Below are 24,435 nucleotides of genomic sequence, written 5' to 3'. Positions count from 1 at the left end.
GGCCTCTGGTGGGCATGGAAGGAGACCAGGTTTACAACAGACTTGGCAAGGAGGCAGACAGATCTGAGATGAGGGAGGAGCCGAGTAGGGACTGAACAGTGCTGGGCATGAAATTCTTGGTAGCCTGGGTTGGACTAGCCAGTGGCAGGCTGGAAGCTCTGCTTCCAGAAACAAGGTCATGGGCCCAGTCACCTAAACTCAAGTGCTCACCATTTGGCAACGCTGTTCACAATCAACTGTGGGTATTTGAGACTGGTCTGGGTGAAGAGGCAAGCACTAGTAGAAACTCCCTCACAGGCAGCTGCGGTTGCAGAGCAAATCCAGAGAGAACTTTCAGACTTTGCGGAGATCCCCTGAAAGAGAACACCCAGACCCTAGTTTAGAGCTGGGGTGAGACTGGGTGAGAGAAGCCCGGAATCTGCTTTCCTACAAAATCACGACACTTGAGCAAGGGGAGCAGCACAAAATGAAAAGAGCACTGGACCGGGAGCCAGCAGGCCTCTGATGCAGGCTTTGTCCAGAACCTGATCTGCTGTGCTATCCTGAGCAATGCCTTCCCCTCCCTGGGCCTCAGAGTCTCTGTCTCTCGGCGAAGGGCTGGGCTCCAGGATCTCTACTGCCAGCCCTGATTAAGTCAGGACTCACTGAATCAAGATGTATCGACTCTATTCATGTCTGCGGACATCTTTGAATCCTTTACATCTGAGACTCAGTGGGACCTCCCAGAGCAATCATCCTTCCAGGCAGCACCACCCTCCCTGCAACCACCCAACCCCAGATAGGAATCTTTAGGAACTTGTCTTTCGGGGAAGGGGTGAGCTACCCCCCTCACCTCTCCCATTTCACCTGCACCTCCGGAAGTCCTTCCTGTGTCTCCCTTTCATCCCTTCTTTATATTAGGGTTCTTTTGAAAGTGGTGTCTCTAGGGTCCCATTTTTAATTTCTTTTGTTTCCCCTAACCAAGAGAGGAAGAATCTGACTGCACATCTGGTTGAAATTTGGGGGTGGGGGTAGGGAAAAGAGGCAGCTTGCTTCTCCTACACTTGGTGAGTTGCAGGGTGGGGAGAACCTGTGAGAGCCAGGGCCTCCTTACCCCCTCCCCGCCATGCCCCCCATGGTCCTTGTCAGCTGCCTTCTTGGCCTTTCTCATCTCTGAAACAAACAAACAATCAAGAGGCAAACCTGAAACCTTGTGCTGAGATGGTAAACAGCGCGGCCGGGCTCCGGCCTTAATGGGCCCCAGCCCTGGCCTGTCTGCTCCCCGCCCGGCCTGCATTGCCTCCAATGTGTTTCTGATTTGTACTGAGCTAGCGGCTCTGCCACGCTGAATGTGGCAGCTGCCTCAGCCCCGCCTCTCGGGGATCCAGGGGTGGGAAGGTTGGGAGAAGTGGGAGGAGGGGACCCCACCTCCCCAGCCAGCTTGGTGCAGAGGCTGTGGCAGGAACTTCTGAGACATATACACAGACGTGGGAGGGGGTGGGAGTAGGGATGAATTTCTTCTGGCTATAAACAAACATGCTTCTCATTTAAGGACCCAGGGGTTCCAGTCACCAGATCCCCCTTACCCATTTTCCAGGGGGCAGGCAGAATGAGAATTGGAATGGGATACTTGGGGCCTAGCATGGCGTCTTTTCAAGGAGTCCACCTCCCAAAAGGTAATGGGAAAGGCAGAGGTGGGCATGAAGAAAATGAAGTTCTGGGAAGTCTTGCCTCCAGAAAAGGATTAAGGGTATGGCAACAGGAAGTTCTGTCTGCAAAAGAACTGAGGAGCAGGGGCCAGGGGATACAATGTTTCTCACCCTCCCCACCCCTAAGCCTACAGTGAGAGAATGTCAGTTTCTGAGGACCATTTACCCTTGGGCCTGTTCGCTCCAGGGAAGCATCAAGAAGGTGGTTTTCATATGGGTTGGCCCTGGTGGCTGAGGACGGGCATCATGCCATCTTTGCTCATTGGCCTTGTACACGTACCCATACGCATCTCCTTTCAGACTTGGGTTGAGGCATCTGGGCCCATTTTCCCTTGTCCTTTCATCCTAGCCCTGTATTTAAAGATAAGGCCTATGCATTTGACAACGCTAAGGGGGCCAGCTGAGGGGACAAAGGAGTTGACCACATTTTTGCCAAAGAAGTTTTCCCAAATCATCTGATAAAATCAGTTTTCTTTGATCATCTCCCCCTCATCTCTCCCACATCCTTAAGCCACTGCTTACCGTCTCAGAGATTGCTTTATCGCTGGAATTAGGGCCAAGACTGAAGCTTGGGTTGAATAGAAACAACTGGTTTTTCTACATAGACCTTATTAGGCGTGTGGAGACATCCCTTCAGCTTGGGCCCTGACAGTTGTCCAACTGCTGCTCACCCAGCCTGGACCCAGCCTAGAGATTGGATCTGACCAGAATCCAGGACCAGAGGGTCCTGCTAGGTCAGCTGGGCAAAAAGATGAGAGGCCACAGAGAACCTTGGGTTCTGTGCAAAGAGACAAGCCCTGCATACCTAGTGGGCCATTCGATGTGGCTGAGAGGAGCGCTTGCTCCCTCCTTGCAGCCTCCTTTCCAGGACCCCATTCATGGGAATGTGGGAGGGTAGGGGTAGCAGGCCATCTTTGGGAAAGCAGACCCTGGGACCCTATGGCTATGTGGCTGTTTATTCCTCCTCCTGCTTTTTCCCAAGTACTAAACATTTCTCACAGTGTCTAGCCAGTTCCAGTTATGCAAGCAGCATTGTGTGTTAACAAGAAAAATATCCATCGGGGGTGTATGGAATCCAAGGGCCTTTGTCCCCCAAGCCACCCAGTACTTCCCTTCTAACTGCAATGCTAGGCCCTACTGTGAGACGGAGGGACAGAGACTGTCTTTATAACCATTGCCTCTGTCATATAATAGGATAGATCCCCCCTAGAGCTCTGTGCATGTGCATCAGTGTGTGTGTGCATGCGGGCGCACACAGTGTGGTGTATGGGGAACACAAACCTTGCCCTGTGGACTTTTTGAGAGTAAGGAACAACTGGCTCAACCTCAGTGGCATCAGAGTGGCAGAAAAGGGCTGGAATGGACATCTGTCTCCTAGATGCACAACTCTACTTATGACCCGGTAGTTCCTCCTCTGCTCCCCCAAGAGAAGTTCATCTCTCCTCTTTCTTTATATGTTCTCTATCCTTCCTGGTTTCTTCACATCTCTCCCAGGCCCAGAAGCCACTGGGTCAAGGCTCCCAAGCGTCTGTCTGCAGACTTCAGCGGCTGAGAGTGCTGTGATTGAGGCAGCTCAGAGGCGGGAGCTAGGAGAAGCAGTAAGCTGCCTGAACTGGGTGAGCAAGGCATGCCCCAGGCTGAGCCCTGTCACCAGTGGGCTGCAGGATCTTGGAAAATTCATTCCCAGTCTGAGTCTCAGGTTCCTCACCTAAGAGAGTGGGGGAGAGGTTAGATTAGATGACTAGGAGGGGGCTGGGCACGGTGGCTCACACCTGTAACCTCAGCAGTTTGGGAGGCTGAGGCGGGTGGATCACCTGAGGTCAGCAGTTCGAGACCAGCCTGACCAATATGGTGAAACCCCTTCTCTACTAAAAATACAAAAATTAGCCAGGTGTGGTGGCATGCGTCTCTATTCCCAGCTACTTGGGAGGCTGAGACAGGAGAATGGCTTGAACCCGTGAGGCAGAGGTTGCAGTGAGCCGAGATCGCACCACTGCACTCCAGCCTGGGCAACAGAGCGAGATTCCATCTCAAAAAAAAAAAAAAAAAAAAAAAGACTAGGAGGGGCCCTGCTAGCTCTGGCTGATGATGACCCAGGGCCCCACCTGCTGTGCCCCATTGTGCCAGGCCTCCCGATCCCACTAGTGGTGCCCAAGGACTCAGTTCCTTTTCTCAAGGCACTGTCCTTTGAAACCTTCCCCACGCAGCCAGCCACACCAAGTCAGCCAGGGCTGTGTGGTGGGCTCAGGCCCAGGCCATTGTGATGACAATGGCAAAGCGTGACAGAGCTCACTCATTCATTTATCTAATAATCATAGATTGCCACCCACAGGGTGTCAGGCAATGTCCAATCTCATAAAGCCCAAGAGACTTATCAAATTCATAGCTCTTTGCTTGGGGACCTCTGCCTGGCCTCTCTCCAGCTCAGCAATTTCTTCCCCAAGCTCTAGAGAGGCTGCCCCCAGCTTCCATCCCTTGCCTACCTCCAGTCTAGACTAATGTCCAGTGGCCCCCGAACTGACATTTTCTGGATGGCTGCCAGGCTACTCTTCCAGGACCTCATCCCAGCTTTGTCAGAATGGGGCTCCAGCCCCTCCACTCCTGAGCTTACCTTGCGTGGGCTATTTAGCCCTTGTCTCCCGTTCCCTCTCCAAACACTAGAGAGTCTTCCCCTTGCTTTGCTCTATCCAAGGTGTGGCTGAGCCCCATGTCTCCCAGCCGGAGCCTTCTGGATCCAGTCTACATTCATACGACTCCCCCAACCCCCGCTCCACACACCCCTCCCTGTCTCCTCTGCCCCAGCACCTCCTCTGTGCAGCTGTGGGTAGTCATATCAACAAAGGGAGACCCAGGGCAGCCAGCGGGGAGGGGCCTGTGAATCAGTGTGGGTGCGCCTGTGTGAGGGGATGGTGAGGAGGGGATGGGATGGGCAGTTGCAGGCGAGTGGGCGAATGGGGATGGTGGAGTGTGTATCTGGGGACGGCCAGCTGGGGTATGTGTCAGAGTGAATGGGCTGGTGTGTGGCTCCATGTGTGACCCTCCCAGCAGCCGTCAACCTGCATTAGCACACACACGGGTGAGCCTGTACGTGTATGCAGGAGGCAGCAGGGTACAGGGGACAGTGGGAAAATATTGGCTGTGCAGGCAGAAGAGGTTTCTGGTCTTCAGTCTTATGCTAGGTTTCTCAGTCCCTGCCCCCTCTCTGGGCCTCAGTTTCTTCATCTGTAACCTGAGAGGGTTGAATTGGAGATGTCTAAGGGCTTATTGGAGCTGTAGCATGCTGTAGTTCCTTGATGTTCTATGGACTAAGGAAGGCTCAGAAATGCTTCCTTTAGGGCTGGGCACGGTGGCTTACGCCTGTAATCACAGCACTTCGGGAGGCCGAGGTGGGCAGATCACCTGAGGTCAAGAGTTCGAGACCAGCCTGGCCAACATGGTGAAACCCTGTCTCTACTAAAAATACAAAAATTAGCCGGGCGTGGTGGCAGGTGCCTGTAACTCCAGCTACTTGGGAGGATGAGGCAGGAGAATCACTTGAACCTGGGAGGTGAAGGTCGCAGTGAGCTGAGATCGTGCCATTGCACGCTAGCCTGGGTGACAGAGTGAGACTGTGTCAAAAAAAAAAATTGCTTCCTTTATGAAGGAGGAGGACATGAGGGAAAGGCAGGCAGAGTCACCTCTGAAACATCCATGAAACTTTCTTTATTCCTTTGCAAATCTTGGACTCTCCTCCTTGTACTTTTGTCTTCCTAGAACCAATGTAAGGGCAGAAGTGGAGGAGGGTGGGGCTCTGTCTGAGAAGCCTCCCCTAGTTAAGGAGGGGTGGGGTCCTGGGCCAAAAGAAGGTACCCACGGGTGCTGTGTGTTCCCAAACACAAACAGGAGGCTTCTGGGAAGAGTGCAAGGGGCCCATATCTACTGAGTCACCACCATCGTTTCTCTATAGGAGGGCCTTGAGGGCAGCAGAGATCTGGTGGGAGGTTAGCTGTCCCTTGAGGCTGCAAGTGCTGAGCAAACACTGTATACGCTCAGAGGATGTGTGTTACAGATACATAAAAATAGGAAAGTTTTCTGAAGATAACTTTATAAACATTTTACACAGGATTTTAACTATGCATTTATTTTTAATGTTATAATTAATAATATATAATAATAATGTGTAAAATGTGAATAAAAGGAAGTCTTGGGGAAGTGGTGGAAAATTATAGGAAGCTAAAATCTCTCACACTACCTTTGTTATCACCACTGTTGATCTGGATTTTAATCCTGACCTTACTATTAGCTTCCCTGGATGACCTTGAGCAACTGGCTCCCCTTTCCTGTGCCTCAGTTTGCCCATCTATCCGATGCTGGAGGATGGGGGAAGTGGTTTCCACTATCTTCAGGGGCCTACCTAATCAGCTCTCATGTGCAACAATTCCAAGGTTCTCACAAGACCTTGAGCTGTGGAGGAGCTGCGTAAGGGAAGGTCAATTCCATTCATGCTCCAGTGAAAACAAGAGGCTGGGCTTGCAAACTCAGGCAGGGAAGCACACTTTCTAAGCCTTGATTTGCGATCAGAGAGGTGAAGGGACTTGCCCAAGGTCACAGAGCAAGTGGGTGTCAGAGCCAGGCCCAGGCCAGGTCTTCTGGATCCCAGTCCAGTACTCCTCCATTGTCCCCACCCAGACACAACTAATTTATCTCAGGGGGCTCCAGGAAAATGGTTGGGAACTAAGAGAGCTCTCAAGATCCACAGCTGGGTCTGAGAAGGTTAAATTCCCAGCTGGAAGCATTCAGCCAGGCTTCCAGAAACCGGGCAGTCCTTACAACTTGCAAATAAGTACTTTAGGCCACAGGAAATGATCCCAGACCACAAGGCCCAGGGATTGCACCAGAAGAACAGTCCTGCCTGCGTGTCAGCCAGCGTGTGGGAGAGGCAGCCTGGGGTGGGGGTGGAAGGAGACATCCTGCAGACCCCTGGGTTAGGCCCAGCTCTATTGAGTTGCTAGCCCAGGGGCCTTGGGCAAGGCTTTCCCCTCCCCCAGCCCCATTTGAGAACTGATAATAATAGAAGCTCCTAGCGGGGTTGCTACGAGGAGTAACTGGCCTGGTGGATGTGCAAAGGCATTGCAAACTGTAAAATGCCGCTCACGCCTGAGGGACTGTTGTTAGAATTGCTGCTTGTACACATGACCTCTGGGTAACTTGGGAGGAGGTAGCCCTGGATGTGCCATGTTCCATGGCTAGCGCCTCCCGTTTGGGGAAAGTGGGGGAAAGGGAGTTGCGGTGGGGAGAGGAGGTGAATGGGTGCGTCCTTGGGGTGGGGGAGAGTGGGAGCTGCGGGCCCGGGCAGCGGCCTTTCATGCGGGGGCTGAATGGTGGGGTCCCGAGGCAGAGCTGAGGCCCGTTGGCCAGGAATGCCGTTCCACAAAGCCGCCACACATCGCTGAGCCCGCCATGACCACAGCCGCGCACGGGGGACCCGGGGGACGGGGCGGGGCTTCTGGTCTTTTCTCTGGGAAGAATCTCCTTCCAAGAGGGTCCCGGCTAGAACACAGGATTTCCATTTCAATGCTCCCTGGCAAGCTGCCCTCCCCCGAAATCGGCTGAAGGCTCACGGAAAAGCCTTTAAAAACACAGTAATTACAAACAATTCCTCGGCTTCTCCTGATTTCCCTCCACGCGGCACTGGGGGCGGGGCGGGGCCGGGCTGGCCTGGGGATGGGGAGGGGAGGGGTCATCTCCTCGCGGCTGCGGAGTTGTATGTGAAAGCCGCGGCTAGCCAGCCCAAGCACTGACCCAAGTGAGCCAGTACTTGGGCTCCTGCTTCCTTCTGGGTGCCCTAAGGCCGGCCTAGCTGGGTCTGGGTGGTGGGAGGCAGCTATGAAAGCCGAGAGCAGGCGCCTGGGAAAATGCACCGTGACTCCAGGAAGCCTGTTGTAAATGGAGCCAGAACAGGAACTTCAGGCAGCATTGTCGGCCCTCCACCGCCTGGGCCTGGACCCCAGGTGTTGGCCCCCAACTCTGCCCTACCCGGTCCTCCTGCTGCTGCTGAGCCCACGTAGCCAAGCCCCTACCGCCCACAGCCGTGGGGGCCAGAGTTAGGTGTGTGAACGGTGGATCTATTCCTTAACGGCCACCTCTGGCCTCCCAAGAAGGGAGAGGGATAGCAGGTAATGTTTTCTGAGCTCTCCGAGCCCAACAAAGCCCTTTGCAAGGACTCTGGACAGTTCTGGCTGAATCTGGGGGACAGCCTAGGGCATCTTGGCTGAAGACTGGCTTGCACACAGTTATCCTTACAAGCAGGGCCCCAGCTCAGGAGGGGTCATTTTATGCCTTTAGGAAGCTGAATGAAAGGAACCCCATTAATCTGTTCAAACTGGCCTCAACTAATGTCTTTGTTCACGAAGGGGATGTGATGCCCTGGGAGAAGAGGGACACTATTTCATGCCTCTCGGGCCTTTGTCTGATAATAACAATGCTCACCAACACTCAGAGCATGTACCCTTTGCCAGAAGCATTTGACATGTAGTCACTTATTTAATCCCAACCGTACGTGTGCTGAAGAAACCAAGGCACAGAGAAGTGAAGTGACTTGCTGAGGGTCACATAGCTAGTAGATAAAGCTGGGCTTAGAACCCAGGTGGTATGGCTCCAGAGTCTTCATCACTGGCTCTGCCATCTAATCTGTGAGAACAATAATAATGACTCTATTAGTGCCAGCTCCTGTGTCAGCCATTTTACACACATACTCGCATGTGGCCGTTCACAACGATTCTGTCAGGTAGACTTCATTGTCTCCATCCTACAAATGAGGCAGCAAAAACTTGGAGGGTTTATGTGACTTTCTTAAGGCCCTACAGTTGGTAAGGGGCAGAGATGGCATTTCAAAACCCAGCTCTGCCTAATTCTTGACAGGCAGGCTTTCCTTGAACACCTTTGCCACTGTTTCAAACAAGCTTTCCACGAGTTAAGCTGCAGTGTGGTATCTGTTGGGTGCTTAGGACAGACCAGGCATTTGTTTCATTTTACGTATATCATCTCTTTTGAGACTTACGCCTACCATGTGAGGGTGGGGGTGTTATTCCATTTGCAGATGGGAACCCTGAGTCTGAGAGACCTTCTCTCTCGCCTGTCCTCTCTCTAGGTTGGGCCACACCCAGCATTCACATCCCTTTTCTTTGGGGGAATAACTTCCCCAGCCACAGTCTCAGAATCCTCAGGCTTCCTGCTGGAAGGAAGGGGCTTGCTGCAGACTTTATGCATTGACTAAATGTTGGAGTCCCAGCTCTGCCACTTCTGGGTGACTTGCGGCAGTTCACTGCCCTGTCTGGGGCATGACTACCACATCCCAGGTGCGTGAGGCTGATCAAATGATGAGATGAGATGCAAAAACATTTTGTAAACTCTGGAGAACTATATAAAGGTGAGCAGGGGCTCTGAGATGAAGGTTTCCATCTCTAGCATTCTGGCATGACCTCATTGCACACGTGTCCAACACACGCATTGGCATCAACATTGAAACACACATACCAGCACCAGTAGGCTTCAGGCAGATGGGTGGGAAGGGAGGGGATTGTCCTTGCTCCTGAGTTGTCTCTCCTCTAGGCAGAGCATCCACTAGTTCTTTAATCTTTCCTTCTAGGACAAGATTTCAAGACTCCCCTCCCCCAAGGAGTTAGATAAAGTAGAAAGATCGTGGGGTTCGGAATCCTGCAGATCTGGGTTTAAACCCACGTTTTGCTAATTTCTAGCTGTGCGATCTTGGAAAATTGCCTTTACCTCTCTGAGCCTCAATTTCTTCATCTGCAGAATGGACATGATAATATTGTAGTACTGATCTCAGGCTAGTCTGAGGCCCATATGAAAAGTCATGGGCTAGGTGCCAGAGATGCAAATATGGGTAGACTTCAGTCCTGGATATCAAGTAGCAAGGGAGAAAGGTCAAGCAGCAGGCAGATGGTCTCAAGTGTTGTGATAGAAGTTAGCCAGGGCTCTAGAGTCCCAGAAGGAGCCAGAAGAGGAGCACGTAGTCTCAGAGGAGGGTGTGGCTTCACAGATACGGTATTGTCCGCACTGGTTCTTAAAGGGGAATAATAAATAGTGGTTAACACTCTACAGTGCTTCATGTGTGTCAGGCACTGTTGTAAGTGCTTTACATGCATGATCTAATTTATTCCCTTGTAAGAGAAATACAACCTTAAGGGGTAAAAACAGTCTTCACCCCCATTTTACAGATAGGGAAACTGAGGCCCAGAGAGGATAAGTGACTTTCCTGGTTAGGCAGTCAGGGCCCTGAGCCCACACTCTCAACCACTCCACCAAGCTGCCTGTGTGAGTAGAAGCTTGCCAGCAGAAGAGTAAGGTGAGACTATAGAGCATAGCATGAAAGCACAATCCCTTCCAGGGCTGGGAGGTGGGATAGGTGAGCAGGGGCCGGATCTCAAGGGCCTGTGCGCCAGGCTCAGGAACTTAGACTCTCCTCTGGGGGCAGTGGGGAGTCACTGGCAGATTTGAATTGGAGAATTACATGCTCAGATTTGTCTGCAGGAAAGGTCTAAGTGGCTGTAGTGTGGAGGCTGGTCCGAGGAGGACGCACTCTGGTGGCAGAGAAATGATAAAGGCCTGGATTCCGGCCGTGTTTGTAGGGATGGAATGCTTGGGATGGATTCCAGAGCTATTAAGGAGGTAAAATTGGCAGGTCACAGTAACTAATTAGATGTGAGGAGCAAGGGAGAGGGAGGAGCAAAGGTTTCTAGCCAGGAACTTGGGTGGATGGTAGGGTTACCCCTGGAGAAATAAAGCTGAAATGAAGTGTGGTGTGGGTCTGGAGCAATGAGGTGTGGTCTGGGAGTATAAATTCTGTTTGGGGCAAGGTGGGTTTGAAGTGTCTTTGATGATGACCACTGGGTAAATGTCTGTACTAGCTGATGCTTGGGGGAGTAGCCCAGGCTGAGGTTACATGGAATTTACTTGCTGAGAGGAGGTGGTGGAAGCCGCAGGAGGGGCTGAGAGAGCCAGGGAGAGCATCCGTAGGGGAGGTGACCCGACATTTAAGGGGCATACTGGAGAATAGGGGCCTGGGAAAGAGACTGAGAAAGAATGGTCAAAGAAGCCGGAGGAGAACTAGGAAAGCCATGTCTGAGTAGACAGTAGAGGATTAGGGAGTCGCAATTGTCACATAGCAGGAAGTAGTCACAAATATCAAATGTGACTGAGAGGTTCCACGAGCTAAGTCCGCTGATTCTTGTAATTAGGTTTTTGAGGTCCTGGGTGACAGCTGAAGTAGGGATGGGAAGCTGGGAAGCTGTCAGCAGTGGTCTGAGGTGTGGAGGACAGGTGGGGAAGTGGGGACAGCCCAATAAGGACCCTGGAAAAGGAGATATGGAACATTAACTAGGGAGAGACACAGGATCAAGGGGGGAGCCAAGAGCAGCCGACGGGAAAGTTAGTCCCTTCCCTCCTGGCCATTTTGCTCCCTGCCTCTCCCTGCCATACCCCCAGACTTGGGTCTCTGCCCTGGGCGTGCTGGGGTTTGTCAGTGCCTTTCAAGGTGCTGGCCCCTCCACCTCTCTTCAGGCTCCCTCAAGTCTCACAGCAGAAACCTCCCTTTGCTTGTCTCTGGAATGAGCCCCTAGGAGAGCTGATGAGACAGCAATTAGACCAGTTGCAACGGCCGTGCGTTCACATCTCTGTGCCAGGGCAGGCCTGCTGGGACCCTGCCAAACTCTTCTGAGCCAGCCCCATAGCCTGGTCTCCCTCCTATGTGACCCCCATGGCCACCATCTACCGAGGGACCTCCAAAGGCATAGAGGCTGGGGAATGGCCTCATTAACATCTCTGGCCTCTGTCAGATATGGCTATCTATGCATTTAGGATCCAGGTACAACCCTACAAGCCCTGGGGCTGGGCCAGTGCCCACCAGTTTTAGGGCAGCTGAGTGAAACAGAAAGGGCAGGGGCAGACTTCCCTTCCATGCCCCTGCCCTTCATGCCTGTGTGACTCAAGATGTTGCCCCTTTATCAGGCTCCCATGTCTCCCCTTTCCACAAAGCCTCTAGAGGATTCCAGCCTTCTAGAAAGAAATCTGCCTTTGTGTGATGGGTTCGTTGTTTTGGGCCAGCAGCATCTGCCTGTTGTGCCCTGTGGCTGTTGGGACCTATTTTTCCAGAGGCTTTTTAGCCTCAGTAGGAAGGCTTCATAGCCCTGGGAGTCATCCATCTCACATCACTACCCCCAACCTTAGTATACTTGTCTTTCCTGTTTCCAGCTTGCAGTCAGTGGATGGCAGCCCCCTGGCTTTGCCCTCACCATCTCAAAATTGATATATCCTAGAACTATCATAAATGTTCATTTATCCTAACAGTTTTTGATTGAATGAAGGCCACAAATACCTCGGTAGACTCCGCATTGAAAAGACCATCTGCCCCTCTCCCCAGCCCCCCACACCTCACCCCTTCCACAAACATCTCAGTGATTTGTTCTGCGTTGGGCCCCAGAGAAACAGAAATGCATCAGAGATCACTCCCACCCTCTCCGAGCTCACCATCTGGTGGGAGGCACAGACATGTCCACAAAGCATTCAAATGTCTTATTTGGGTGTCCTGCTGGGATATTGTTCAGAGTGCAGGGAGGGAGGGAAGGCAAAAGAGGCAGCCACTGCATCGTACTGAGGGGTGTTGGGAGACTTGAAAGGTAAACAGGTGTTTGGAAGGTGGACAAGGAGGCAGAGGATGCAGTTTGGGAAGAGACTCAGTGGCATACAATGGCCTGGTAATTTTGAAGGCTGTGGGTTGGGCTCTGGGGGCACTGCTCATAGTACAGATGGAGACACTGAGGTATGGAAAGGATGTACTTGTGAGGTGATGGTACAAAAGGAGGGGAAAGCTGTGTGAGTCACAGCTTGAGGACTGGAGTCACTGTGTTGGGTGGCTTGGCCTGGTAGAGATCAAATGTGTGATGGGCTGGGGCCAGGCTATGGCTGTAGAATAAACTTGTATTGGAGGCTTGAAATCCTGTCTTCTCATCTCTAAAATGGGGATAATAACACATACTTTATAGGCTTGGTGTGTGGGAGAAATGACATAATGCCTATAAAAGGGCCTTGGACGTGTAAAGCTCTCTGTCTGTGGGAAAGGTTATTGTTATTCCGCCTGCCCTTTCTGGCCCCCAGGTTAAGAGCTACCACTCTCAGGAAGCCTTCCTTGGTTCTTCCCAGCTGGAAGTCGGAGCCTCTCTTCAGGTCATTTCTCCTTGCACAGCATCTGTGAGTGCCTCAAAGGCAGAGCCCATGTCTGATTTCTCTCCACAGAGCCCTGGGGGAGGTTCCTAGAAGATCAAGCTGCATATGCACTCATGTTCCTGCCATGCACACACACATGGCTAAATGTATGAGCAAGGACAAGAGTCCAGGTACCCACATTTGGAGATGGCCCTGTGGGTAGGTATGTTCTCAGGCATGCCCCACAAAGGACTCCCATCTACTCTTTTCCTGCGCACAGCCACATTCCATGCCCACAGGAATAGCCCCCTTACACTTTCCCCGCATTCATTTGTTGACCTCAATACCACTCACTCCAGTTTACAGGTGAAGTGAGACTGAGAGAAGTCTTGTACAGCTGGAAAACCTCACATGGAAGTCACGGTGGGCACATGCTTTCCCAGGGCATGTCCTCAGCTCCATTTGTGCACATGAGTCCCCTAAGCTGGCTGATTTCTGCTCCCCATTGGAAGCCAGAAGGCATCAGTTTAACCTGGGAAGGGCCCACAGAACTAGTCACTGGTGGGAGGGCAGTGCTGCTGGCAGGGGTGGTGGTGGGGTAGAAGGGTGGAGGGTGGGAGACAGGGTAGGGGGTGTTGGAGTTGAAGAAGGAGGAGAAAACCTGATCAAAACCATGTCACAAAGGAGGGGGGAAAGGGTAGGGGGAGAGAGAGAGGGAAGGAGAGAGAAAGAGAGAGAGAGAGAGAGGAGAGAGAGGTTTCCATTCACAAAGAAATCATTATGGTTAATTTAATTCATTGTAGCGTTTAATACAGAAAAGCTTTTCTACAGAGACTGGGCATCAGGCCAACATTTATATATAAATGGGTTTTATTTTAAAAGCGAATGCAGTGAGGGGGATAGGCTGGAGTTAGCCCTCTCACTCCCTCTTCTTTCCTCCTCTCTTTATCTACCTTTCTGAGTCTGTGTAGACCAGGAATTGGGTCTCCCACAAAGCAGGAACCCCCTACTCCCCACTCCTATGGCCCAGAATTTCTACCCCCAAGACCTTGTTTCCTCCACTTTCTCAAGACCATAGGGAGACCCTGGGCTGGGCCCAGCTGAGAGCTTTGCTGGGACATTAAAATCTTTGAATGTTCTCCTTAAGATAACACTTAGAGACCACTCTACCTTCCTTGTCCCCATCCAGAGCACACTCTACCTACTGCACAGATGAGGACACTGAGGCTCAGAAAGGGGGCATGACCTGACTGTGGGCATACAACTTCGTCAGTGACAATGGCAGAACTTGAATGTGGGTTTTCTGTTTCTCAGTCCAGTGCTCTGGAAGGTGCAGTCCCCCTGTGCCAGCTCCTTGGGGGCCTGGCACTCTTCCTCTGCACCTGAGTCAGGCCCAGATCTATCCTTCCAGGCTCTGAAATGATCTCCCCCACCCCCATCACTCCTGGTACTCCAGCAAGCTAATCAACTAATTCACACTGTGGTGTCAATGGCAAATAATAACTTGCTGTAAAGTGCTAATGGTGCAATTTCAGGCTCTCTGGGCTTGTTGGAGACTGAAAAAGAGCTTGAGGATGAGGGAAGTTTTAAGAGTCCATCATATTATATTACACACCATTTATCCAATACTCTGTGTTGCCACATACTCAGTAATGCCTCTTGGTCTGGGATCACAGCTTACCGCCATAGGTTGAGTGGCACCGCTCTTAATGGAATATGTCCAAGGATGCATCCAGATTTGCCTGCCCAAACTTTCCTCCCAGCCTCTAGTTCCTGCAGCAGGGACCCAAACACACATTGCCAGTCCTTTTCCTTCTGCTTAGCATGGCCGGGCCCTGTGGGAGAAGAAGCAAGCATGTAAGAGTGGGGGCGGGGGCACCACTCCAGAGGTCTCTGGAGAGTTGCCTCCTTTCCCTCTGAGCCACCAGGTGCCAGGTTCAGCTTTCAGGGCTGGGATCTATTTTTCCTCACATAGCAGAACTGCCCACACATACTCCCATTCTAGGGATGAGGTAACTGAGCCCTGGAAAACTGAAGTGACACGCACCCAAGACTTGGCACTCAAGTCTTGTGATCCTTGGACGTCATGGCTGCCCAAAGTCCCCTCTGGACAAAGAGGGCCAGCTCAGGCTGGGGACAGAACCGAGTGTGGTGGCAGTGTCAGAGGATAGGGCTTCTGAGTCCAACAGGAGCACATAACCTCTTCCATGGGCCTCAGAGCTACCCACCAGGCTCCTCATCTCCCATGGGGAAAGAGCTGGGGAGCCTCGCAGCTAAGCACCAGGACCAAGCACAGACTCAAGAGAGAGGAGAGGCCTGGGCCCAGGCTCCAGATCTTGCCCTCAGGCCCCTGGAGCACAACTGGAGGGGGCTTGAGGGTGGGGTCCAGGCCCTCGATGAGGCCGGGAGTCCCCAGCATGCCTCCTGCACGTCCCCAGGTCTCCCGGTGGCCTGGCTGGTATTTAGGGTATTTGGGGTCCAAGCCCAGAGGACTCCTACATCTGGATCCCGTTAGCTCGCCGCGTTCCTTCTTGGCCGGGAAGAATGCGTGCAGCGCCGGAGGAGCTGCGGGACTGCGGACTTGCCTCCCGGACCAGGCTATCAAAGCAAAGTGGCGGGCAGCCTGCCCCTGGGGAGGAGCTTCGCGGGCTCTCCATCTTCGCCCCGCCGCCGCCGCCACCACCGCCGCAGCCTCCACGGCCAGTAGCTCCGGGGTGGAGCAGAGGCCTTTCAGCAGGCGCTCGCTGCTGCGTAGGAGCGAGTCAAGCGGTCAAGGCGCAGCCCGGGCAGACCCGCTGCTTCTGATTAGCTGCTCACCCGCTGCTCCTGCCCCACCGACCTGCTCCCGCAGCCAGAGTGAACGGGAGCCGCCCAGAGGCTCCCCGAAATCCAAGGGGCCCCAGGCTCCTAGCCAGGGCAGGCACAAGCTGACCTCTGCATACCTCCACCAGCTTCAAAAACAGGCACTCACTTGTTCTTTCCTCTCCAAATCCTCATTTGCTCTCCCTTAGAGCCTCCTCTCTGAAGAACACCACGACAAGCCTTAGTTAGAGGCAGTTATTTAAAAATCATACTGAGGCATGTGCAGCCTTTAATAGTGCAGATGCACCTTAAGGTTGGGTATGTTCACATAAACCCATCATAAGTTGAAAATATCATAAGTCGAGCATTCATTTAATACACCTCACCTACTGAACATCCTAGCTTAGCCTCGCCTACCTCAAACGTGCTCAGAACACTTACATTAGCCTACAGTTAGGCAAAGTCATCTAACACAAAGTGTATTTTATAATGAAGTGTTGAATATCTCATGTATTTTATTGAATACTGTATCGAAAGTAAAAACAATGGTTGTATGGGTACTCGAATTACAGTTTCTACTGAATGCCTATTGCTTTTGCAGCATTGTAAAGTCAAAAAATTCTAAGTCGAACCATTATAAGTTAGTGACTGTCTGTGTAGCATAGTGTTTAAGGGGAAATAAGGGGAAATGTTTGGAGCCAAGTCTCCTGAACTTAACTTTTGGTTCACTACTTAGTAGCTCTGTGACTTAGGGTGAGTTACACAGTTTCTTTGTGCTTTAGGTCTCCCCCAATCCCCCTGTATAATTGTGACAACCATAAGTCCCTAGGTCACAGGGTTGCCGTGAGACTTAAATGAGTTAATACTAGAAAGTGCTTAGAATAGTGCCCAGCAGTTAGTGAGCACTCAATAAATTATTTGTGTTACAAAGTTTGTTTATAACCATTGACTCATTTGAGCCTCCAGCAATTCTGTGACCTAGGGGTTGTAATGGAAAGCTAGAGAGGGGAGGGCCTTACCCAAGGTTACACAGCGAATAGTGGCAGGGTTGGAATTGCACTCTGCAGGTCTCTCTGTCCTATTCACCGACACCCATGCACCTCCTGGCATTGCCCATGGCAGCTCAGTCAAGCAACAGTGGGAAGGAACTTTTTTCTCCAGGCTGCAGTCCTTAATTTTGCCGTATAGCTGATGGACCAAGGGGAACAGGTCAAGGATTTCTAAGTGTGAGTTCAGATAATTGCTAATCCCCCTGAGCCAGCCATGGCTGCAGAGTGTAGGCCTCCAAGCCAGTGGCCTAGACCTGCCTGAGGTCCTGAACAGACCCATCCAGAGTCCCCCAAGACTCATCTCTCTAAGAGGGCAACTCACCTAGTGTGAGTGAGAAGCCAGGAGCCCATGAGGTAGTCTAAGTGCCTGGAAAGGGCTTGAGTCCTGATAGTTGTGCCCTGGCAGTGGAGAGGGGAGGGAGGGTAGGAGAGCCAGCCACCAACGTGGTTGATTGGGTAGTCAGCTCAGAGGAGGGGTAGGATAGCAGGAGAACCCCTGAGGCCACCCTCCAGCCAGAAGAATCCTCCCCTTCTCCCTTGGATAGCCTGGGTTGCCTTCTGTAGCCATCTTGCACTCCCCCTGCTTTCCACGCAGCCTCATGCCTGCCTCAGTGCTGCTAGAGTGGGTAGGAGGCAGCAGAGAAATAGGAAGTCCTTGCTCTGTCCCCTCCTGGACTGAGGCTCTTTCTCAGGCCCTGCCCATAGCCAACAGATCTGGGCCAGCCTTGCAGAGAGCTGGCAGGAAAGCCTCCAGGGAATGTGACCACAGCTCGCCCTGCCTCTGCCCACGAGGCCGCCTGGCACCAAAGGCCTCAAGCACCCTTTCTAAATCAAGCTCAGAGATTTGTTTAGATTAGATAGATTGAGCTCTAGAGGTGGGAATGAGGAAAGGAGGGAGAGGGAGAAGAGAGCCCAAGAGAGTGCCGCTAACAGAGTCCTGAAGGCCCTGCTGCGATCCTGAGGAGCTGCTCAAACAGCAGTGCAGTGGCTTCCCCACACTGTGGGTGGGGGGCAGGGGGAGAGAACAGCCAGAATCCTGGGTTCGAGTCCCAATTCAGCCTGTTGGTAGGTGATGACATCGGAAAAGTCATTTCCTGCCTCCGAGCCTTCAGGTCCCCATCTGTATTTGGAGATGATACTGCCTGTGTCTCAGGGCTGAGGTGAGGATGAAGGGCACGATACGTGGAAAGAGCCTGGTGCGAGGCCAGCCTCGAGGAGGCTCAACACGTCTCCCCCACATGCCTGGATGGCCATTACCCACGCCCTCAGCACAGAAGGCTTTGTTGGTCTAGGGTTGCTCTGATACCTATGTCCTAGCATCCCTTGTCCTGGCCACTTGCCATTTGGAAGCTGCCCATTTCCCGTCCCCCTGCCCCCTCATTTCTTTTCTTTTTTTCTTTTTCTTTTTTTTTAAATTTTTTGAGACAGGGTCTGGCTCTGTTGTCCAGGTTGGAGTGCAGTGGCAGTGATAGTGGTGTGATCTCAGCTCACTGCAACCTCCACCTCCGGTACTCAAGCAATCCTCCCACCTCAACCTCCTGAGTAGCTGGGACTACAGGCATTCGCCACCATGCCCAGATAATTTTAAATTTTTTTTGTAGAGATGGGGTTTCACCATGTTGTCCAGGCTTGTCTCGAACGCCTGGGCTCAAGCAATCTGCCTGTCTCGGCCTCCCCACGTGCTGTGATTTCAGGCGTGAGCCACCCTGGCTGGCAACCTGATTTCTTTTGAAGGAATCACCTCTCCCTATTTTATGGTCTTACTGGGGTGTAATCTAAGATAACTGCTTCAACTTAAGGTGGTTGAGGGGGCTGGCCATGAGAGCAAGGGACATAATGGAGAGGTGGATATTGGCCATGAGGGCTGTGTGGCAGTGACAGCATCCTGACCAGGCAGTGCTGGTTACAAGACAGGCACTGCACATCCTGTTTCCTGAACCTTGGCTTCCAGTGGCTCTCAAGTCTGGCTCTTTGGTTCCCATGAGTTCTGTCAGTACCCTTTCCATGAGTCTCGGTACCAATCCCTTTGTAGCTCAAGTTGACTGGAGTTTGGTTTCTATATGTGCCATCAGAACCCTACCTCTTTCACCACCCCCCACAGACTGTGGGGGCGATACTCTTTCCTCTGGCTCCCCATCACCCCTCCCAGGGTTTAGCATGGGCCACAGAGCACACACCCATTTGCTGACCCCTGGCCCCAGACCTGGAGAAAGGGAGACATACATTGCCAGAGATCAGGGAGACCCTGGTTTGACTGGTGTGGGAAGAAGCCATCTGGTGTGGAGGTAGAAGTCACAACGGGATGACGTCTGGTGGTGCTGGTCGGCCTCAGCTGAGACTTAGCCACCCTCGACAAACACATGTTCAGTCCTAGCAAGGACCTGGCCTAGAGTAGGCATTCAGTTACTTCTTCTTAGTTCCTGTCTTGTAGTTGTGCCACTGTGGGATGAAGAAGATCAGTGAAGAAGTGTCAGGCCCCACCTGCAGGCCAGGCCAGGGCTAGTGGAGCAGTCCAGGAGGGGCGAGGGAAAGCCGGCACTTTGTTCTGTATATCTGCACACATACATGAATAAGTACAGATAGACATGTAGAATTGGTTTCTTTTTTTTTTTTTGAGAAGCAGTCTTGCTGTCACCCAGGCTGGAGTGCAATGGCACAATCTTGGCTCACTGCAACCTCCGCCTCCCAGGTCCAAGCAATTCTCCTGCCTCAGCCTCCTGAGTAGCTGGGATTACAGGCACCTGCCACCACGCCCGGCTAATTCTTGTATTTTTAGTAGAGACGGGGTTTCGCCATGTTGGCCAGGCTGGTATCAAACTCCTGACCTCAGGTGATCCGCCCGCCTTGGCCTCCCAAAGTGCTGGGATTACAGGCGTTAGCCACTGTGCCCAGCCTGGTTTCACTTTTCACAAGTGGGATCTGACTTCACGTGCACCCAATGTTTTACAGCTTTTTAAACTTAATGGTAGCCAGGCGTGGTGGTGCGCGCCTATAGTCCCAGTACTCAGGAGGCTGAGGCAGGAGGATCACTTGAACCTAGGAGTTCGAATCCAGTCTGAGCAACATAATGAAATTCTGTCTCAAAATAAAATAAAATAAAAATAAACTTAACGTATGTGTGGGGCATCTTTCCATTCTGCATGCATTGATCTATCTTATTCTTTTGACCAACTGCATTGTATTCCATAGTATGGAATAGCTTTTAAAACCAGCCCCCTAATGATGGCCATTTAGGTTGTGTACAATTTCCCGTGCATGAGTGTAGGATGGCTCATAGAAGAGGAATGCTGGGTTAAATAGTTGTATTTTATCTAACAACTTGGTCGCTCCAACTAGACTGTAAGTTCCAGCAGTCTAGGGTCAGGGTATTGCCATTTCTATATCTGCAGCACCAGGAGAGAGGGAGGGAAGCAAGAAAGAGAATAAAGAAGCAGTTGTGGAAACTTTCTGGCTTGTAGGTGGGAACAAGTTTACTTTTCACCTGGTTTTCCTGGGGAAAAACATCTCGGATCCCAATTCTGGCCTTCTGAGGACCCAAGGCACTGAATCAGGAGCCATCTTTCTGCCCCTCTGGATCACACCCACACATAGGCACATGCCAGAGGAGTGTGCCGGGCTAACCTGGCGTGGTTGAGCTAAGGCCAGAGCCAAATCGAGCCGGGACAGGCTCGCAGGCAGGATGTTTGGGCAGCACCTCCAGCTTCCCTTCTGCATGGCCCTGGGACCTGCATTACCTCCAGCCTCGGGTCGTTCCCCTCCCTCCTCATTTGCCCACCAGAGACCAGGGTCTCATCTCCCCCTCCACCAGGGCTGCATACCTTCAAAAAGCTCGCCCAGGCATGATAGGTCACGGAGTCTCGAGAGCTTGCGGAGTACAGAGCACCTGGCAGGGGGTGGGTGGAGTGGAGGCCAGAAGCTGGGAATTTTTCCTTAGTAACAACCTGGCGCCCCAACTCATTGGCAGTTCTGCCTGCCTGCAAGCTGGCCTGCACTGCCTGCCTCCTGCAGGAGCCTTCATCTTCAAAGCTTTTTGGGAAACAGTTAATTAACCCCCACAGCCCTACCGCCTGCCCAGGAGCCTGCCAGTTCCCTCATCTCTGTGGGGTGAGGAAAAGGTGGGGGGCAGTGAAACTGAAGTGTGAAGAAAAGATGTGGAGCTGGAACCCAAGTGATCCCCGGCCCCCAGACAAAGAAGCAGCTTTCCTTTTCAATCCCCCACCCCGCCCCTCAAAGAGTTGGTGGGATCCCCCATAGAGGCCAAGGGACTAGGGTTTAAGAAGCTTATCTTCGAGCACAATTTTTGGAGGGGATGTGTCATATCATTTCTCTGTGCCCCAGTTTCCCCATCTTTAAAACGGATATTAATAGCACCTAGTTGTCGGAACTGTGGGACCAATCTAATGGGACAGGGGAGGGGCAAATGCTCTGGGAACTGTGTGTACAAATACAGCTTGGAAGAAATCGGGAGTATCAGGGATGGAAGGGGGTGCCGAGTGGAAGAGAGGGGCCTGAAGTGGGGCAGTGGGTGGGTAGTCGAGCTCCTTGAACTCTGTAAACAGGGGCTGCCACCCAGCACTGGGAAGAGGGAGAGAGGAGCTGGCAGAGGGGAGACGGGAGCCTTTCTCCCTGCCACCTGCTTCTCTTGCCTCATCTTAACCCACTCTTTTTCTCCCCTAAGATTCTCATGAACATGTGCACACACACATACACATTTATCCTATACATGCATGTGCATATGTGTACACAGACATGCAAACACATATGCACACGCACTAAGGCACCCAAATGAGTTGGAGCGGACTGTGGGGGGTCTTGTGACTTCCTATGTGACTGTGCCACACAAAGACGCTCTTGCCCAAGTGTCCAGGGTCTTAATGAACACAGGGAAGGACAAACGGGAATTGGGTGGTGAGTTGAATGCCAAATGAAATTATCTCCTTCACTAACTCTACTTTTCCTACTTTTTTGTTTTCTGACCATCCCCAATAATTTGTGTGTCTCTTTTTAAGGACGAGTACCACAATTCTTCTTCTGTTGCGATTGTTCTCCACATACGAGACTGGAAGCTTCCTAAAGGCAGCAACAGGGTCCTGTTTCTGTGTCCGCAGCCCATAGCACATTGAGAATTAGCATGTACTCTGTGTCTTCTCTGTGCTTGGCACACTGCCGTGCGGCTGGGGGTTTAATCTTCACACCAAAGTGTGAAGTCAATGTCATCTTCCACATTTTACAGATAAGGAAACTGAGGCTTAGAGTGGGAAATGACTTGTGCAAGGGCATGCAGGTGAAGCAGAGCCAGGATTCCAACCCAAAGCCAGTGTTCCTCTTCCCCCTCTTACAGCACACTGCCTTTTCTCTGGGAGTCTCTAGGGGGTTCCCTAGGCTGGGGGTGGAAGCTGGGTGAAGTCAATGTCTCTTCTGGAGTTTCAGCATAAGCTAGCAGCAGCCTGACTTGGAGGACTGCTTGGCCTTTAGACACCTACATCCGCTCTGCCCGGTCTGTGCAAGGAGCTCGGAGGCAGCAGCCATTTTCCCTGCATACCAGGAGAGGCAGGTGATGGCAGGAGAGGAGGGAGGCCCAGAGAGGGTAAGTTCTGGCCATTGGCAGCAGAGCCTGGAACAGGATCAGAGCTGAGCCAGGCCCCATGGGGGTGCATCAGGTGAGTCGGCTGGGGCCTGCTGGTGTGCTAACCACCAGTCTCTCCAGCCTCCTCCTCCGGCATGGGCCCTGGGGTCAGGAAGGAGGGCCCAGAGCACCACTGAGAAACCGAGCCCTCCTAAAGCCGAGCCAGGGGCTGGGCCACTGTGCCTGGGCCCTGTGGGCGGTGGAGGGGGCAGTCTGGCGCCTGGTAGGAGGGGCAGCCAGGTGAGCACCCCTCAGCCTCAAGGAGGAGGGAGCTGGAAGTCCAGAGGGGGAGGCTTGTTTCTCTGGAAGGGAAACCTTCAAACACTAATTGGTAGTTGCAAGTAATTAAAGTAATTTACTCAGATTATAAAGAAATTTCTTAAGAGTGATTAAGCAACTCCGGCTGTGTATGGTTGTTGGTAATCACTTCCCCAGGGGGATTAGTGCACTTGGCAGGGTGTGAGAAGGATGCTTGCACGGGATGGGTCCTGCTTTCTCGGCATGGGGGAGAGGGTCACGGAGGCTGCAGGGGATGTTGGGGGACTACTGAGACTCCCCAGTGGAGATTGAGATCAGGTCTGAGAATACACCGAGGTCTGTGTGTACCAGGCTCCCTCAGAGACTCAGGTGTACACAGACAGATGCACGTGCAGACATACTCAAGTGTGTGCTCTACATATATATGCCATTACAGATACCCCTAGACCCAGGCACATGTGGTGGAGATGCTCTCCCAGATGCACAAAGACCCTGATGATCACACTCCTGCAGGCACAGTGACTCGTATAAATTACACACATGATATTATACACACCTGGGCACCCACACGAATCTGAGTCAACAGTCAACAGGCACAGATACTGGTATAGGCACCTGTGTCCACACCCAGCCACACCCGGACACTGGAAAGATTATCTCACGTGCTTACAATCCTGCACACACACAGTTGTAGTTACAGATTTACATGGAGAAATACACGTCCATAGACACAGTGGTACATGTGGATAGATACATGTATACAATGGCACACACGTCCAGACATCTGTTTCCACCCAGGCAAACAGAGCCTCAAGTGCTTGGAGTCAGACACATGTACAGACCTAGGGTCTCCTGCACAATTGCAAATCGACTCAGACACCCAGTCATCCTGCATGCACGCATGTGCATATACACAGAACCATACCTAGACAAGACTTGCACACAGTGCCTGTCACTGACACCTGTCTGTTCCACAGTGTGCTGAGAGCTGCCTCCTAAGTCCTCTGAGTCCTTAGAAGTGGCTGAGTCAGAGCCTGTGTGTTCCCAGGAGCACTGAGCTGTGGATCCCCCACCTGGCCATTCCTATCGGGGTCAAGCTAGGTGAATTGGAGGTGGGTTGGAGGTGGAAGGGGAAGGGAGCATGGGCCGGGCTGGGGCCTGGCTGAGACGAGCTCTGAGGAGCCCTCTGAGGCAGGAGGATGGAGGTCATAGGACACAGGTTCCAATGCCAGAACAGCACTTTCTAAACTAGGTGACCTTTGCCAAGTCTCTTCACATTTCTGACACTTAGTTTCCTCACCTGCAAAGTAAGGATAATCATGCTGCCTTCTTCCTAGGTAGGATTGCTATGAGGATGGAAAAAACTGACCAATGTGGGGGTATTTTACTCATAGCAGGCCAGCAGCAGATGGGAATATCCTTCCTTTGCCCCTCAGAGGACAGCCTAAGTCACCCTTAGCTAGGGGAAAAGCTCCTCTGACCCCACCCTGTGTAAAGCAGGCCAAAGTTGGTTCTGATGCACCCTCTAAGGCTCATTCTCAGAGGCCCAAGCCGCAGGCCCTCAGGGTTGGAAACAAAAAGCATGGCTGAAGCCCTTTGAGCCATCAGGAACCATGGCCTCTGCTTCTGGCTCAGTCTCTTACTCACTGTAGAACCTTGAGGACTCCCCTTCTCTGGGGCTCAGTTTCCTTCTTTGTTCCCCAAAAGGGTAGGAACGGGGGAGGGGATGACCTAGATGATCTCTAAGCTCCCTCTCGGCAGAAGCATTCGAGGGTCCATGTAAATGACACACTTGAGTCTGCTTGAGCTT

General features: G+C 52.2%; 1 long non-coding RNA gene across 1 annotated transcript, besides 3 other annotated features; it reads right to left on the bottom strand.

Annotated features, from left to right (window-relative positions):
* Positions 3,318-4,239: an enhancer, noted in NCBI's record as "H3K4me1 hESC enhancer chrX:68359936-68360857 (GRCh37/hg19 assembly coordinates)". NCBI's record gives its function as "activates a minimal SCP1, AML or CMV promoter by ChIP-STARR-seq in naive H9 embryonic stem cells {active_cell/tissue: H9 hESC(naive)}" and the evidence as "EXISTENCE:reporter gene assay evidence [ECO:0000049][PMID:30033119]".
* Positions 4,240-5,162: an enhancer, noted in NCBI's record as "H3K4me1 hESC enhancer chrX:68359013-68359935 (GRCh37/hg19 assembly coordinates)". NCBI's record gives its function as "activates a minimal SCP1, AML or CMV promoter by ChIP-STARR-seq in naive H9 embryonic stem cells {active_cell/tissue: H9 hESC(naive)}" and the evidence as "EXISTENCE:reporter gene assay evidence [ECO:0000049][PMID:30033119]".
* Positions 8,256-15,529, bottom strand: LOC107985646 (uncharacterized). The gene is made up of 3 exons (XR_001755985.2): positions 15,390-15,529; positions 14,572-14,725; positions 8,256-8,357 (listed from the first exon to the last, which is right to left on the bottom strand). It is a non-coding gene; the product is annotated as an uncharacterized LOC107985646 (long non-coding RNA).
* Positions 22,014-22,523: an enhancer, noted in NCBI's record as "H3K4me1 hESC enhancer chrX:68341652-68342161 (GRCh37/hg19 assembly coordinates)". NCBI's record gives its function as "activates a minimal SCP1, AML or CMV promoter by ChIP-STARR-seq in naive H9 embryonic stem cells {active_cell/tissue: H9 hESC(naive)}" and the evidence as "EXISTENCE:reporter gene assay evidence [ECO:0000049][PMID:30033119]".

The sequence above is a fragment of the Homo sapiens genome, chromosome X, assembly GCF_000001405.40.
Source record: "Homo sapiens chromosome X, GRCh38.p14 Primary Assembly".
NCBI classification, from domain to species: domain Eukaryota; kingdom Metazoa; phylum Chordata; class Mammalia; order Primates; family Hominidae; genus Homo; species Homo sapiens.
This window is presented reverse-complemented; position numbering and strand designations above follow the sequence as displayed.